Source organism: Homo sapiens, chromosome 11, assembly GCF_000001405.40.
Source record: "Homo sapiens chromosome 11, GRCh38.p14 Primary Assembly".
NCBI lineage: Eukaryota > Metazoa > Chordata > Mammalia > Primates > Hominidae > Homo > Homo sapiens.
Window position 1 is genome coordinate 20,666,634 of NC_000011.10, and position 12,695 is coordinate 20,679,328.

Consider the following 12,695-nt stretch of genomic DNA (forward strand, 5'->3'; position numbering starts at 1 on the left):
AATATCTATTCAGATCTTTTGCCTATTTGCAAATTGGACCTTTTATTGTCTTGTATTATCTAGTTGTAATAGTTTTTTAGTAGATACAAGTTCCAATCAGATATGTCTTGCAAAGATACTTTTCCATCGGTTGTTTTTTTTACTTCATTGATGGTGTACTTTGAAGTGCAAATGTTTTTAATTTTGATGATGTGGCCATATTATATTCAAGATGTCTAATAGGTAGTTAGAGATGTAGGCCTGGGGTTCAAAATAGAGGCTGGGGATAGAGATGCATATTTGAGAGTCATCCCTGCACAGATATTTAAATCCATGAGGTGGGATGAGCTTAATAGGGAGGGAGTGTGGCGGGAAGGGAAGGGTTGAGGAGTGAGTCCTGGGGCTCTCCAACATTTAGAGGTCAGGAAGAAGAGGCAGAGGGATAATCAAAGACAACTACTGGCTCCTGAAGAACCCATGGAGGTAGGCCATCCTGAAGGGGAGGGTGGACTTGGGATCTGGCATCAGGTAAGATGTTTCAGTGTGGCTTCCACCGAACACAGGTCTCACTGTAACATTCCACCACCAAGTACATACATAGCCATGTGTCCCTTCATTGTCACTAGAGAAACTTGCTGGGCCCATTCTATGAAGGTCACCTTAGCTTAACAGACCTACACACTCAAAATCCCCACTCAAGGGTTGCACTTATAGGAGGAGATTGCAGTACTTAGTTATCTAGAAAAGATTTATGACCTTGTTGAGATTAACTCTTGTTACTGTTAATGGATGTTATGCTGCAAAGCTATGACAGAACATATGTCTTGCTTTATTTTTTAATGGAACAAGCTAAAAGTCCCATCCCACAGGACCAGCTAATTACACAGAGACTTTAAAGATAGAGAGCTCTGAAGATCTTACCCAGACCACCTTTTCCCCTTGCTGGGGTCACTGTACTTTTAAGGATTCTGGGCTTTCTGAAATCAATAAAAGGGCCTTGGAAACAACAGTCCAAAGCAACTCAAGGCTGTTCCTGCTGAGGTGTACTTAAAGACTGCAGAGGAGAGACAGGAAATGGCTCTTATAATACAACATGGTGTATGGTGTCCTTGTCCACAAGGCCCAACAAGACTTGGGAAATCCTATTCTCTTCAAGATGTGTGATTTTAATGTTAGCTTTAAATGCAACACGCTCCGGGTGGAAGGAAAAACACGTGGACTCTGTTAGTGAAAATACAGAGTCAAGGCAGACAGATTTCCTTTGGGTCTTAGCCGAATCTGAGTTGGAGTCAGCTGACATCAGTTTACCTCTTAATCATTCAGCTCAACTTCTGGATTGTGCAGTAGACTTCTTGAGCTGGAATTTACCTGCTTGTTCACTTTCTTTTTCATCTGCCAAAGGACCACAACATAAAGGGCCAAATGGGACAGTGGCTTGCACACAGAAATATCCAGAAAAATAGGGCAGAGACCAGAACAGCATGCTAGTAAAGCCTTCTCTCTTAATAAGCTGCGCTGATTTGGTGAACTTCACTGGGGCTCCTGGGGTCAAAGTTGTGTAGGGGTTAAGGATATAGGAAGTGAAAGTGGGTGCAAGTGAGAAGGGCACGTTCTTATTAGTGAAGAGGATTCTGAAACGTTGGAATTGGTTTCCAGGAAACGAGGGACGGCTGTTCTGAGGTTTCCTTGGACTCCTCTGGGATCCCTGTTGTGAATATCAAAGGAGTACTGCTGGTGAGGGGGAGCGGGGGCTTCAGAGAGAGTGGGAAGACTGAGCAAGCTAAGTGGAGTTCATTTGGTATAAATCAGAGGCTGTCATTTCAGATTTCATGACTCTACATATCCAGTTATAAATAACGTTCCTAGGTGTTAGTAGGACAAATAGGAAGTGGGACAGAAGTCTTAAATTTGGGGGATCTTCATAGGGAAGGTCAGGTCCTGAAAGGGTCGCATAGAGGGGAGAGGACCCATTCTCTTCTTGCCGGCAAGTAGAAAACAAAGCCCAGCCCAGCTTTTCTCTCCAGAGAATGTTGTGGTGGGAGAGGGAAAAGAAGGTGGAGGTCCCGGAGGAATTGCACATGGGGCCAAAATGTGACTATGAAAGAAGAGTGGGCTTTTGATAATACCATTAAGAAAATCACGCAAGAAAGAAAAAAAGATGGTTAGGAATTACCCCTATGTGGCAGCATCTGCCCTGCAGAATGAGAAGGTTTGCAAATAGACTTCCCAAACCCCAACCACAGCTCGCTCCGCCTCGAGGACCCCTTTTCTGCACCCCCACCTCAGCGCCCTCTTCCTGCACCCACAAAGAGAGTACTCAGTCATAGGGGTTCAACAGGAGAGAGGAGACAGAAGGTACAGGCGGTGAGCAGGGACTCAGCCATCATCCCCCTCAGGTCCCTCCCCACCCAGTTGACAGAGCGAATCCCGAGTAATTGTTTTCCGAGGGGGTCCGTGCGCGCTCGGTGGCGCCGCCTCGGTCTGGGTTCCCCCGAGGAAAAATACCCACCCGCGAGGGCTCGGCGGCTTTTCGACTCGGCGGGGATGAACTGTGGCAACTTCGGCAGCCCCCACCGCGGTGCGGAAGTAAAGAGGGCAACATTGGCGACTGCGGCTCGGAGGGGCTGGAGCGCGTGAAGCCGTGGGGGCGCCGTGCGCCTCCCGCTCTCTCGTTTCGGCCGCAGGTCCTGGGACTCCGACTTCGGTGCTCCGGGTGATAGCGGCTGCGGCGCCTGCAGTCCAGATCCTCGCAGTTCTGCGGGCGAAGGAGGCGAACGGAATCGGCCCCCAGTGGGGAGCGCAACAAGCCACAGTAGCCAAACCCCGCGCTCCTGCCCGGGCTCCCAGACGAACGCAGCCGCAGCGGGGGGCCGGGCCCCGAGCCCCACGCCGCCGCCGCCGCGCCAGCGGTGGGGGGCGGGCTGGGGGCGGGGCGGCCGGGGCTGCCTTCCCGGGCGCATATGCGAGCGCAGCACCCGGCGCTGCCGAGCCACCTCCCCCGCCGCCCGCTAGCAAGTTTGGCGGCTCCAAGCCAGGCGCGCCTCAGGATCCAGGCTCATTTGCTTCCACCTAGCTTCGGTGCCCCCTGCTAGGCGGGGACCCTCGAGAGCGATGCCGATGGATTTGATTTTAGTTGTGTGGTTCTGTGTGTGCACTGCCAGGACAGGTAAGCATGACTGTGGCGGTTAGAGGGATCCGGGAAATGGGGGTGCCCACAGACCACGGCGGCGTGGGGAGACCTGGAGCCGAGCTTTGCGCTGGTCTGGGGAACGGCGGTAGCGTGGACCGGTTCCTGGGATCTCTTTGCCCTGCTCGGAGTGACAGGGTGAAAATAGGGACTCACGGGCTTGAAGATGTCCCCGTTGAGTGCCCCTTCTCAGGGGACCCGGCCTCAGGGGCGCAGGAGTGAGGGGCGCGGCCGAGTAGGCGCACCCTCTTGCTGCTAGTAACCGGCTTTCCGTCCCAGGGAGTCGAAACCCGCAGCAGGGCGGGCCCGCGTGCCCCGAGTTCCCGAACTTGTAAGGTGCTGTGGAAACCACTCTCGCCGACCCCCGCCAGGCTGGGAAGGGGTAGCTGCGGGAGTCGCACCCGCAGAGGGAGCGCTTCCGGCTGGCGGGCGCGGCCGGGGCCCGGGAGGGCGCGGTGCGGCGAGGGCAGAGAGCTGCGGGAGAACCCTGGGATCCCGCGATCTCCTCCTGTGCCTTCCTGACTACCCAGGAGAACTCCAGGAGTATTCTCCTCCGCCTGTCTTTGCTCCCAAGGGCTGGGCGAACAATTATCTGAGGGAAATAGAGCAGTGGAGACAATCTGGGGAAATTTTCTCAAGCTCAAACCAGTTTTCTCTTGCCATAATCGCAGGGTTCCGTGTGGGGAGGGGGGAGCAAGGATGACGCTTGATTGTCTGAAGTCCCCACTTCGTTCTGCCTCCGGAGACGCAGTTGTGAGGACTCTCAGCGCATCTTCTTCCTTCTGCTTCCACCGGCTCCCTTGCCCAAAAGTCCCCTGGGGTTCGGAGACTGGCTTGCAGCCGCCTTCTTCAAAGAGCTAGTAGTAGATGCGGGGAGACTGGGGTGAGGTGAGGTGGGGTGAGATGTAGGAAATTGGCAAAAATAGGGCCTGTCAACTGGGGGGAGTGTCGGAGGTTTGCAATCCTACCCAGCCATCCTCCGTACGCGCTGCACCCCAGAATCTGTGTGGTCATTCCCTTTCCCTTTATTCTCCCCCCTTTACCATCCTTATTTCCTTCTTTAGAGGCGTGGCCTTCTCTCTAGGCCAAAGAGCAAGTTCATCTGGAGAGGGCTAAGAAGGGGCGTCTGCACTTGGTTGGCTCAAAAGTTCCCTCCGCTTGCGCCCAGGCGCCCCTCTTTGGCAGTTAGCCCGCTGGAAGATCTAGCGTCTAGGAGCTTTCAGAGGGCCCTTCCCACTTCCCCAGGACTGAGCAGGCAGCGGCTTTCGTCTGGTTAAGAATGTTGAATATGGATTTCTCAAGGGACAAAAGAAACCTCCCATTCCGTTCCTTACCTCTATCCGAGCTTCCCAGGCTGCGGAGACGCCAAGGCTCAGTCTAGCTTAGAATAGTTGCTTCTTGAGTTCAGGCCCATCCGGATGGGTTAGTCTTTTAAAACCAGGACACGCTGAAGGAGTGCGCGCACCCCAGGAAGATCAGGACAGGCAAGACTAGTGCAGAGCGTGGGCTACTGGCTCTGAGCGCGAGAGTCTGGTGCTCGTGGACATCTTACAGAGGAACCGCAGACAGGAAGAAGCTAGGTAGGGAGGGGGCAACCCGTTAGTGAGTTCACATCCCTAAGTGCACATCACTACGGAATATGCCTAAATCCTTTGTTCTCATTACTCCTTTGAAAAGTCGCCAAAGTACCCTTATCACGGAATGGAACGTGTTTCAGGGTTCATTGCTTGTGGAAGGGGTCTTTAAGAACAGGTATTTTCCCTCTTTCCACTTCCAATCCCCTTTAAATCTTGTAAAAATTTCGTTGTAGGGGAAGATTCATTCATGTCTTTACTCATTCAACAAACGATGTCTTGCTGGGTGCCAGGATTTCTTATGCAAAGAGGAAATGACAGTCCTTGACTTCTAGGAACTTAAAGCTCAGCTGGGAATCTAGATAGAAACTGGCAGGCATTTTAATTTTACAGATTGATGGGGGGGGTGGTGGAGAGGTAGGAGTATAAGTTTGTATTAAGGAAATGTGGAGGAGAGACAGTTTGAATTAATTCTAGGGAGGAGTGGTGGTCAGGGATTTGAGAGATGTACCTTCAAGGCTTTCTAGGGAGTTTTCCAGGTGGACAAAGTGGGAAGGCATTCTTGGCAGAGGGAGCAGATTCAGCAAAGGCAGGGAAGCATGGAAGGATCTGACCCACTGGTTGTGGCTGTTGCCTAGGGAGCTTGGGTTCTCAATGTCACTTGGCACTATTTGAACACTAGAGGCCGCATATTTCTTCTACACACATTATCGGAAGAATCAGAGAGACGGGGGAATTACCTCTCAATTTGTACACTTAAAGTATCTTGTAGCTTGAGAGGGTATAAGCGGTAGCTTTCTGGAGGCAGCCCTCTGATTCTGTGCAGAAATCATTTCCACATCATCCATCCACCCTCTTCTTAGGTAACAAAGGCTGGCTTGTGATTATCAGCATCCAAACAGCTGCGTTGAAAGTTTCTTTGTCAAGTGGGACAATTGTTGTCTGGGCTGTTAACAGTCCTAGATGAAATAAACATGTGGTTCACTTAGTGAGCTGCTCAGATATCACCGGCTTTTAATGGAACTGAGTAGATGATATCAGGCACATTTTAATTAAAGCAAGACTGCAGTGCAGACACAGTTGCATATGAAAAGATCTAATGATAGGTGTCATGAGGAGCTGCTTAAATCTGCCTTGTTCAGAGAACTTGTTTTAGAGTGCAAAGTGGAGTCAAGACGGGAGGTGCCATTCTCCAGTTCTTGTTATTTCTGGTTGAGAAATAATTCAGAGATTTTCAGGTACATCACTAATAATGAAAATTTAGAAGGCTACAATAATAGCAGTAATAACACACTATCTCTATGAGTTTTCACCAATGCTTTGGCAGTGTGAATAATTGAAAACTCAATAATTATTCCCACATTGCTTTCCAGTTTGTTTTGGTCACCAGGGCAGAGGGTGAAGGGAGTACCTACACCTGCAAAGCCCCTACTGACCAAGTGAATGTCTTTTGCTGCCACCTGCTGGAAAGGAGAGAATTTTTTTTTTTTTTTTTGAGATGGAGTTTTGCTCTTGTTGCCCAGGCTGGAGTGCAGCGACATGATCTCGGCTCACCACAACCTCTGCCTCCTGGGTTTAAGTGATTCTCCTGCCTCAGCCCCCCCCCCCCCCCCCGAGTAGCTGGGATTACAGGCATGCACCACCACGCCTAGCTAATTTTGTATTTTTAGTAGAGATGGAGTTTCTTCATATTGGTCAGGCTGGTCTCGAACTCCTGACCTCAGGTGATCTGCCCGCCTCGGCTTCCCAAAGTGCTGAGATTACAGGTGTGAGCCACTGCGCCTGGCCAAGAGATTTTCTTTTGGAAGGAACTCTCAGGTGGATCATTAATTATGAATTGAATAATGGAACTGTGAACATGAGCCCCCAGCCTCCAAGGATCATGGAAAATACTGGCCAGCTTGGAACAGGCATAGAGCATATTCTTCAAGAAAATTGCTTTTGGGGTATTAAGGACCTTCGTAGGTGCCCAGGGGCCCAAACCTGATTAAGTGGTTGTGAAATTCTGTGGTTAAATGAGCTCTTGGAGCATTTTTTTAGTCTGCATGGTCCAGAGGAAAACAGCTTCCACCATGGACAATGAGCAGGAGTAAATTTAAAGTCAGCCAGACCCAGGAGGATTTGCTGGAAAGCCTATGTCTGGGACCCCAAAGGTGAACTGAGTGGGCTGTGGGCCCGAGCATTCCCTGGGTGGGGGTGAGGAGCAGCCAATAGCAGCAGTAGCAGCAGGTATCTTTGTTAGGGTGGAGTTTCTGAATCCTAGTCAGGCCTCAAGTGCCTCTGTGACATTGACATGCTGCCTTCCAGGTTTTTAAAATATTTCTTCCCCAGGAGCTTTTCATCTTGCTTAATTGTAATTCCCAATTTTAGCCATTTGTAGAGCCGTTATGTCCAAAGTAGAGAACTTTAATTGAGTTTCCTAGGAAAGGGCAGGAGCTCCATGCTTGGACAAGAAGCAGAAACAATACATTTTTTTTTTTTATGAGACCACACTCACACTACATAAGGTTCAAGACAGCCCATGTCAATGCTGCCTTATTAATAGGTTTTCTGATTCCCTAGGCAGTATGCAAAATGCTATCCTTTATACATCCTGCTATGGGCACGAGGCATTTTCATCCTGGTGGGGACCAATTAAAGGCAGAGAAGAAAACTATCCAGAAGCCTAATTGATTTCTCTTTTTTTGGCTCTGTTTTTATGAGGTGTTTTCATAATAAAAGCAATACACTTATCTTAAAGCCAGAGAAGCTCCTTCACTTTTGAGTTGCGGGCAGGGAGTTGGGGAGCGAATATACATGTCATATATGGATTTTACTAGCAAACCCAGCGTGAGAGGCCCTTCTAAGTCACTTGGGCATGGATAAGGGCTGGGAGGAAAGGGGCCATCTGTACCTTTTTTATGATTCCAGTGGAATTGAGGACCAGGGAGCTGGAGTGGTCTGGAGAACTGGTCTTATTAAAGACAGATGAAACAACCCCCAGCTGGGCACCACCTATGTGCCAGATGGAGCTGTTGAAGTGTGAATATAGTTTCCCCGAGTCCTCATGAGTCTGGTGTAACAGGTACCAGTATCTTTTTACACACGGTAACCCAAAACATGAAATTTCCTACAGCAGAAGATATGAAGCCACCCGTGTTATCGCTGATATGGAGAACTAGAGTTCTGAAGTCTCTGCTTCAGCAATCCCTTCAGGGAGGCAGGTATTAACGTTCCTATTTTATGGATGAGGAAACTGAGGCTTGATAAATGAATGCTTTTCTTAAGGGCACAGGGTTAGTAGAGGGAAGAGACTGGACTGAAACTGGATCTCAGTTTAGTGTTGTTTCCACAATACTTTCTGGATTGAGGGCACTGTGTTCTCATTTGGGGGTGGGGATTCAAGGATACCATTGGGGTGTTCTGCTAGTTCTACAGAGTTTGTTTGGGTGGTTGAAGCCTTGCCCAATTAATTGCAGGGCTCTTAGTCTGGGAGATTTGAGCGTCTTAAGGATGCCATCGTAGAAGGTCTTTAGTCCCTGCATCGGTCAATATTGTCATAATAATTTTGTATAACAAATAACCCCAAACTCAGTGGCTTAAAGCAAACCATTGATTTTGGTTCACATATCTGTAAATTGTGTTTGGGGTTGGCTTATCTAGGCTGCATTTGGCTGGGCTTGGTTTCAAACTCAGGTAGGCTGCCCGCTCCACATGTCTAGGTCTCCTTGGACCAGTGGACCAGCCGGGACATGTTCTTATCATGATGTGGAAGTAGACGAGAACAAACCCCACTGCACAAGCATATTCAAGTCGCTGCCTGAATAATGTTACTAACATCCCAATGGCCAAAACAAGTTACATGGCTTGCCTCAAAATCAAGAGATGGGGAGGTTTACTCCCATTGTAGTGGAAGGAACTGCAAAGCCACTCAGTAAAGGCTGTGGATATGAGAGGGGTAAAGATTTAAGGCCAATGTTCAGTCAACCACTGTCCTTTTGGAAAGTTTCCTGGGCTTGCATGTCATCCGTCATCTCATACTATCCCCAGATATGCATATTGCTCAGAGTTCATTGCACCCAAAGTATTGATCATGCATCAACTCATTAGATAATCAGGTCTTAAGTTGAGAGCCTGCCTGCCATCTGTCCAGGCCTGTGAAAGGCACTTGGGCGACAGGGGTGCTTCCTTCTTCTTGCGTCTGGTGAAGGGCACGTTCCCCAGACCACATTCCAAATTCCTGGCCAGAGAAACACCAACTTGGAGGTCCCCTGAAATTTAATTTCTGCCCTTAAGCATAAACCTTAGAACCCTCCAATTATATCTCAGAATTAGAATAACATCCAAGCTCCTTTTGGGTCACAGGGCTTATATGATCTGGCCCTTCTCTCTCTCCCACTTTGGCCTCTCTTCTTTTTTCTTTTCTTTTCTTTTTTTTTGATACAGAGTTTCACTCTGGCACCCAGGCTGGAGTGCAGTGGTGCTGCAGGATCTGCTTCCTGGGTGCAGGTGATCCTCCTAATTAACTGGGACCATAGGTGTACGCCACCATGCCCGGCTAATTTTTTGATCTTTTTGTAGAGACATGGTCTCCCTATGTTGCCCAGGCTGGCCTCAAACTCCTGAGCTCAAACAGTCCTCCTGCCTCAGCCTCCCAAAGTGTTAGAATTACAGGTGTGAGCCACCGTGCCTGGGTGGCCTCATTTTCTACTTCTCTACCCCTGGCCCATTCAGTTTCTGCCATGCTAGCCTTTTTTCTGTTCTTAGGACACTCCCAGTTTGTTCCTCGTTTGCATGCACCCTTCTCTGCATGTGGAAAGCTTCCTCCCATCTTGCCTTTTCTAGTCATTCAAGTTTCAGCTTGAAAGAAACTTTTCAACCCCCCTTTCTAAAGTAGGACCCCCCCATCCAAGTTGCTTTCTATCCCATTACTCTATTTTCTTCATGGTGTTTATTGCCATCTCAGATTATCTTATTCATTTGTTTATTTTTTGCCCTCCCCCAACCTAACCCACAGGAATGCGAGCTCCATGTGTGTGCTATATAGTAAGCACTCAGTAATACCTGTTGAAAAAATTATGAAATGAATGAATGCAGAGTGAATGGAAGGAAGACATCTTTGGGTCAACTGGAAGGGGAAAACTTAAATCTTCAGTTCAGGGGACAAGGGGAAGTCTGATAGAAACTGAGAAGGCAGTTATAGACATTTTGTCTGCCTTGGCAATAACCGGTTTCAGCTCTAAAGAGGCCTTCCTGACCAACCGTCTGTTGACAGAAGCCTAGCAGGTCCTGTTTCCTAACAGGAAAAGAGTAAGGAAAGAGTAGATTTCCTTCTCCAAGGCTGTAGGACCAGGGGTTAAGGTGGGAGGACAGGTGAGGTGGTGATAGCTTATGATGTCCCGGTGAACATTCACGCAGTGGGTACAAGCCCTCCAAATCTTGTCTCAGTGACTGCATTACCATCAGATGAGAGTTGACAGCTGTTGCTGATTAAAACATTTCCAACAGCACAGTCAAAATTGCACTATTGAGATGGTATGTGTAGATAGACACAGCCTTTATGAATGGCTTAAACATAGCCCCTTAGAGTGATCACTAGCCTTATTAATACATATAGTTGGAAATCACTTTGCAATCATGAATGAATCATTGCTCAGAGCACCCCATGGGTGAGAGGCATCTTTAGGGATTTGTCTTTCTCAAACAAGGGAAGAGGAGGCTCACGGCTGTATTTCTCTGCATTAAGGTTCTCTAAAAAGAGTTATCAGGGTATCTGGCTTTCCATCCAGGAATCCCCTTGGATGGAAATATATATCCATTATTCCAGGGATTCTCCTTCCTGGCCAGTCCCTCTGCCACCCTTCTTCAACAGGGACAGGGTCCTTTTCCACTTTTTTCCTCCTTAACACAGGTGATTGTGACTGATTAATTAGGGAACACTTTGTGGAGGTGTTTACTGGTGGTGGTGGGTCAGATTTTGCTACTGCATCAGTCTCTGAGGCAGGTGGATCAGGGCCACAATCTTGTATCCGCAGTCACCACCTCTATAAAGCTTGGAAACCCAGTTTCTTCATAACTCATCTGACAGCAAAACCTATCCTGAGTTGAACTCATTTCATGGCAAGACTTGATCTAAACTGATATCAACCTATTTATAATCTTTATTTATGCCAATTAGAGAAGTATGTCATACTTTTTGCTTCAGAAATGTTGTACTTGATTATGGGGTTCTGAGTTAGACTTTGCTAAAAATGTTACATAAAATGTAGTATATAGGCCATATTACCTTTCTAACACATGGCACCTTCTGAATTCTGAACTATATTTAACCCCAGGAGTTTTGGATAAGAAATTATCAATCCATAATTGGGGGTGGGGTTGGGGGAAGGAACAAAGAAACTACAGTATTAGCGGGGTAAGGGAGCAAAGATTTGCTTTTCTTTTCCCTCCATAGACAAAGACTCTCCAAGCACTCATCATTGGCTTCCTTGTATTCCCTGCCACTCCCCGACTCTGTAACCTCTGAATGCTAGTAACAGTCTGCATTTTAAGCCCAAACAACTCTTTGTTCCTTTCCAGTGGTGGGCTTTGGGATGGACCCTGACCTTCAGATGGATATCGTCACCGAGCTTGACCTTGTGAACACCACCCTTGGAGTTGCTCAGGTGTCTGGAATGCACAATGCCAGCAAAGCATTTTTATTTCAAGGTAAAGGCACCTCCTTTCTTGCATGGTGGCAGAGGTTGGGGAGGAGGGTCTGTCTGGGGAGTGCTCATTTGTTGTGTGTTTGTCTGGAGATCGCCTTTGCTATTTCTCTTGTGTTGCTGTCTTGAGTGTTTAGATATGCAGGGGGTATTATTCTGAGGGCAGGAGGGAGGCATTAGAGATCATGGTGGTAAAATATTTGGTTTGGCAGTGAAATATTTCCTTGATTTTGGTGAGGATCTAAAGTGGGATGGATTTATAACATACTTGAAAGCCATTGACCATCTATATTATTGTTACAGGACATTTCTCTAGCTGTTATCAATATCTTTGCCTGTACTTACACCTATACCTATATTTACATCTTTCATCTAGTGGATAGGCCATAAGAACAGAGGAAAACTTATGGCTGCATTCTCCTTGAGGTAGAGCTTACTCAGTTCTGCCCACTATAAGCGGGACCACAATTCATTAAATCATTCAGCAAGCATTTATAGAGAAAACATGGTGTGGTTCTTAGAAGCATGGTGTTTCTCACAATTCTGGAGGCTGTGAAGTCCAAGAATAAGGCATCAGCAGATTTGGTACTTAGTGGGGGCTGGCTCTGTCTGCTTCCAAGATGATGCCTTGTTACTGTGTCCTGTGGAATGCTGTGTCCTCAAATGGTGGAAGGGATGGAAAGGCAGAAAAATAACTAGCTAGTTTCCTTTCTAAAGACACTAATCCATTCACAAGGGCAAAGACTTCATAATTTAATCACTGTCTAAAGGCCCCACCTCTTAATGCACTAGGGATTAAGTTTTAATATGAATTTTGGTGGGACACAGATATTCAAATCAGCAAAGTGATAGGTCAACAGATACTTAAAAAATGGATAAAAAGCCTGGTATAGGAAGGGATGGGGTCTCACAGCATTCTGAATAGAGGAAATAGTATATATAAAGGTAAGGCAAAAGCCAACAAAAAGACTTTCGCATGGCGGAAGGGTGGTGAATGTCTAGAGGGGTAGACAGAGACTAGGTTACATGGGACCCTGTTGTCAGAGCTGATATTCTGCTGATATGTGTGGGTTTGGGTGTACTGATGATTTATGGTCAGTGTCCATTTTGATAGGTGGGATGCCATGTACTTTTTGTTACCTGTTTTAAGTATTACTCTTGCCCATAGGCCACTTAACAGCTTTGTGCTTTACTCTCAGAGAAGTGGGGCCTTTGTAGAGGTTTAAACAGGGAAATGAACTGACCAGATACCATAGTAAGGCAGCCTGGATA

At 47.6% G+C, this 12,695-nt stretch overlaps 1 protein-coding gene across 4 annotated transcripts in view; it reads left to right on the plus strand.

The window, feature by feature from the left end:
* The window catches only part of NELL1 (neural EGFL like 1), a 906,136-nt gene continuing 896,358 nt past the window's right edge, over positions 2,918 to 12,695 (plus strand). For 2 of the 4 annotated variants that reach the window (NM_201551.2, NM_001288714.1), the window contains exons 1-2: positions 2,918 to 3,145; positions 11,299 to 11,427. In NM_201551.2, the coding sequence (NP_963845.1) occupies positions 3,091 to 3,145; positions 11,299 to 11,427 (184 nt within the window). In that variant the 5' untranslated portion in view covers positions 2,918 to 3,090. Of the gene's footprint in view, positions 3,146 to 7,855; positions 7,940 to 11,298; positions 11,428 to 12,695 lie in introns of all 4 variants that reach the window. The other 2 variants (NM_001288713.1, NM_006157.5) reach the window with 2 other exon arrangements.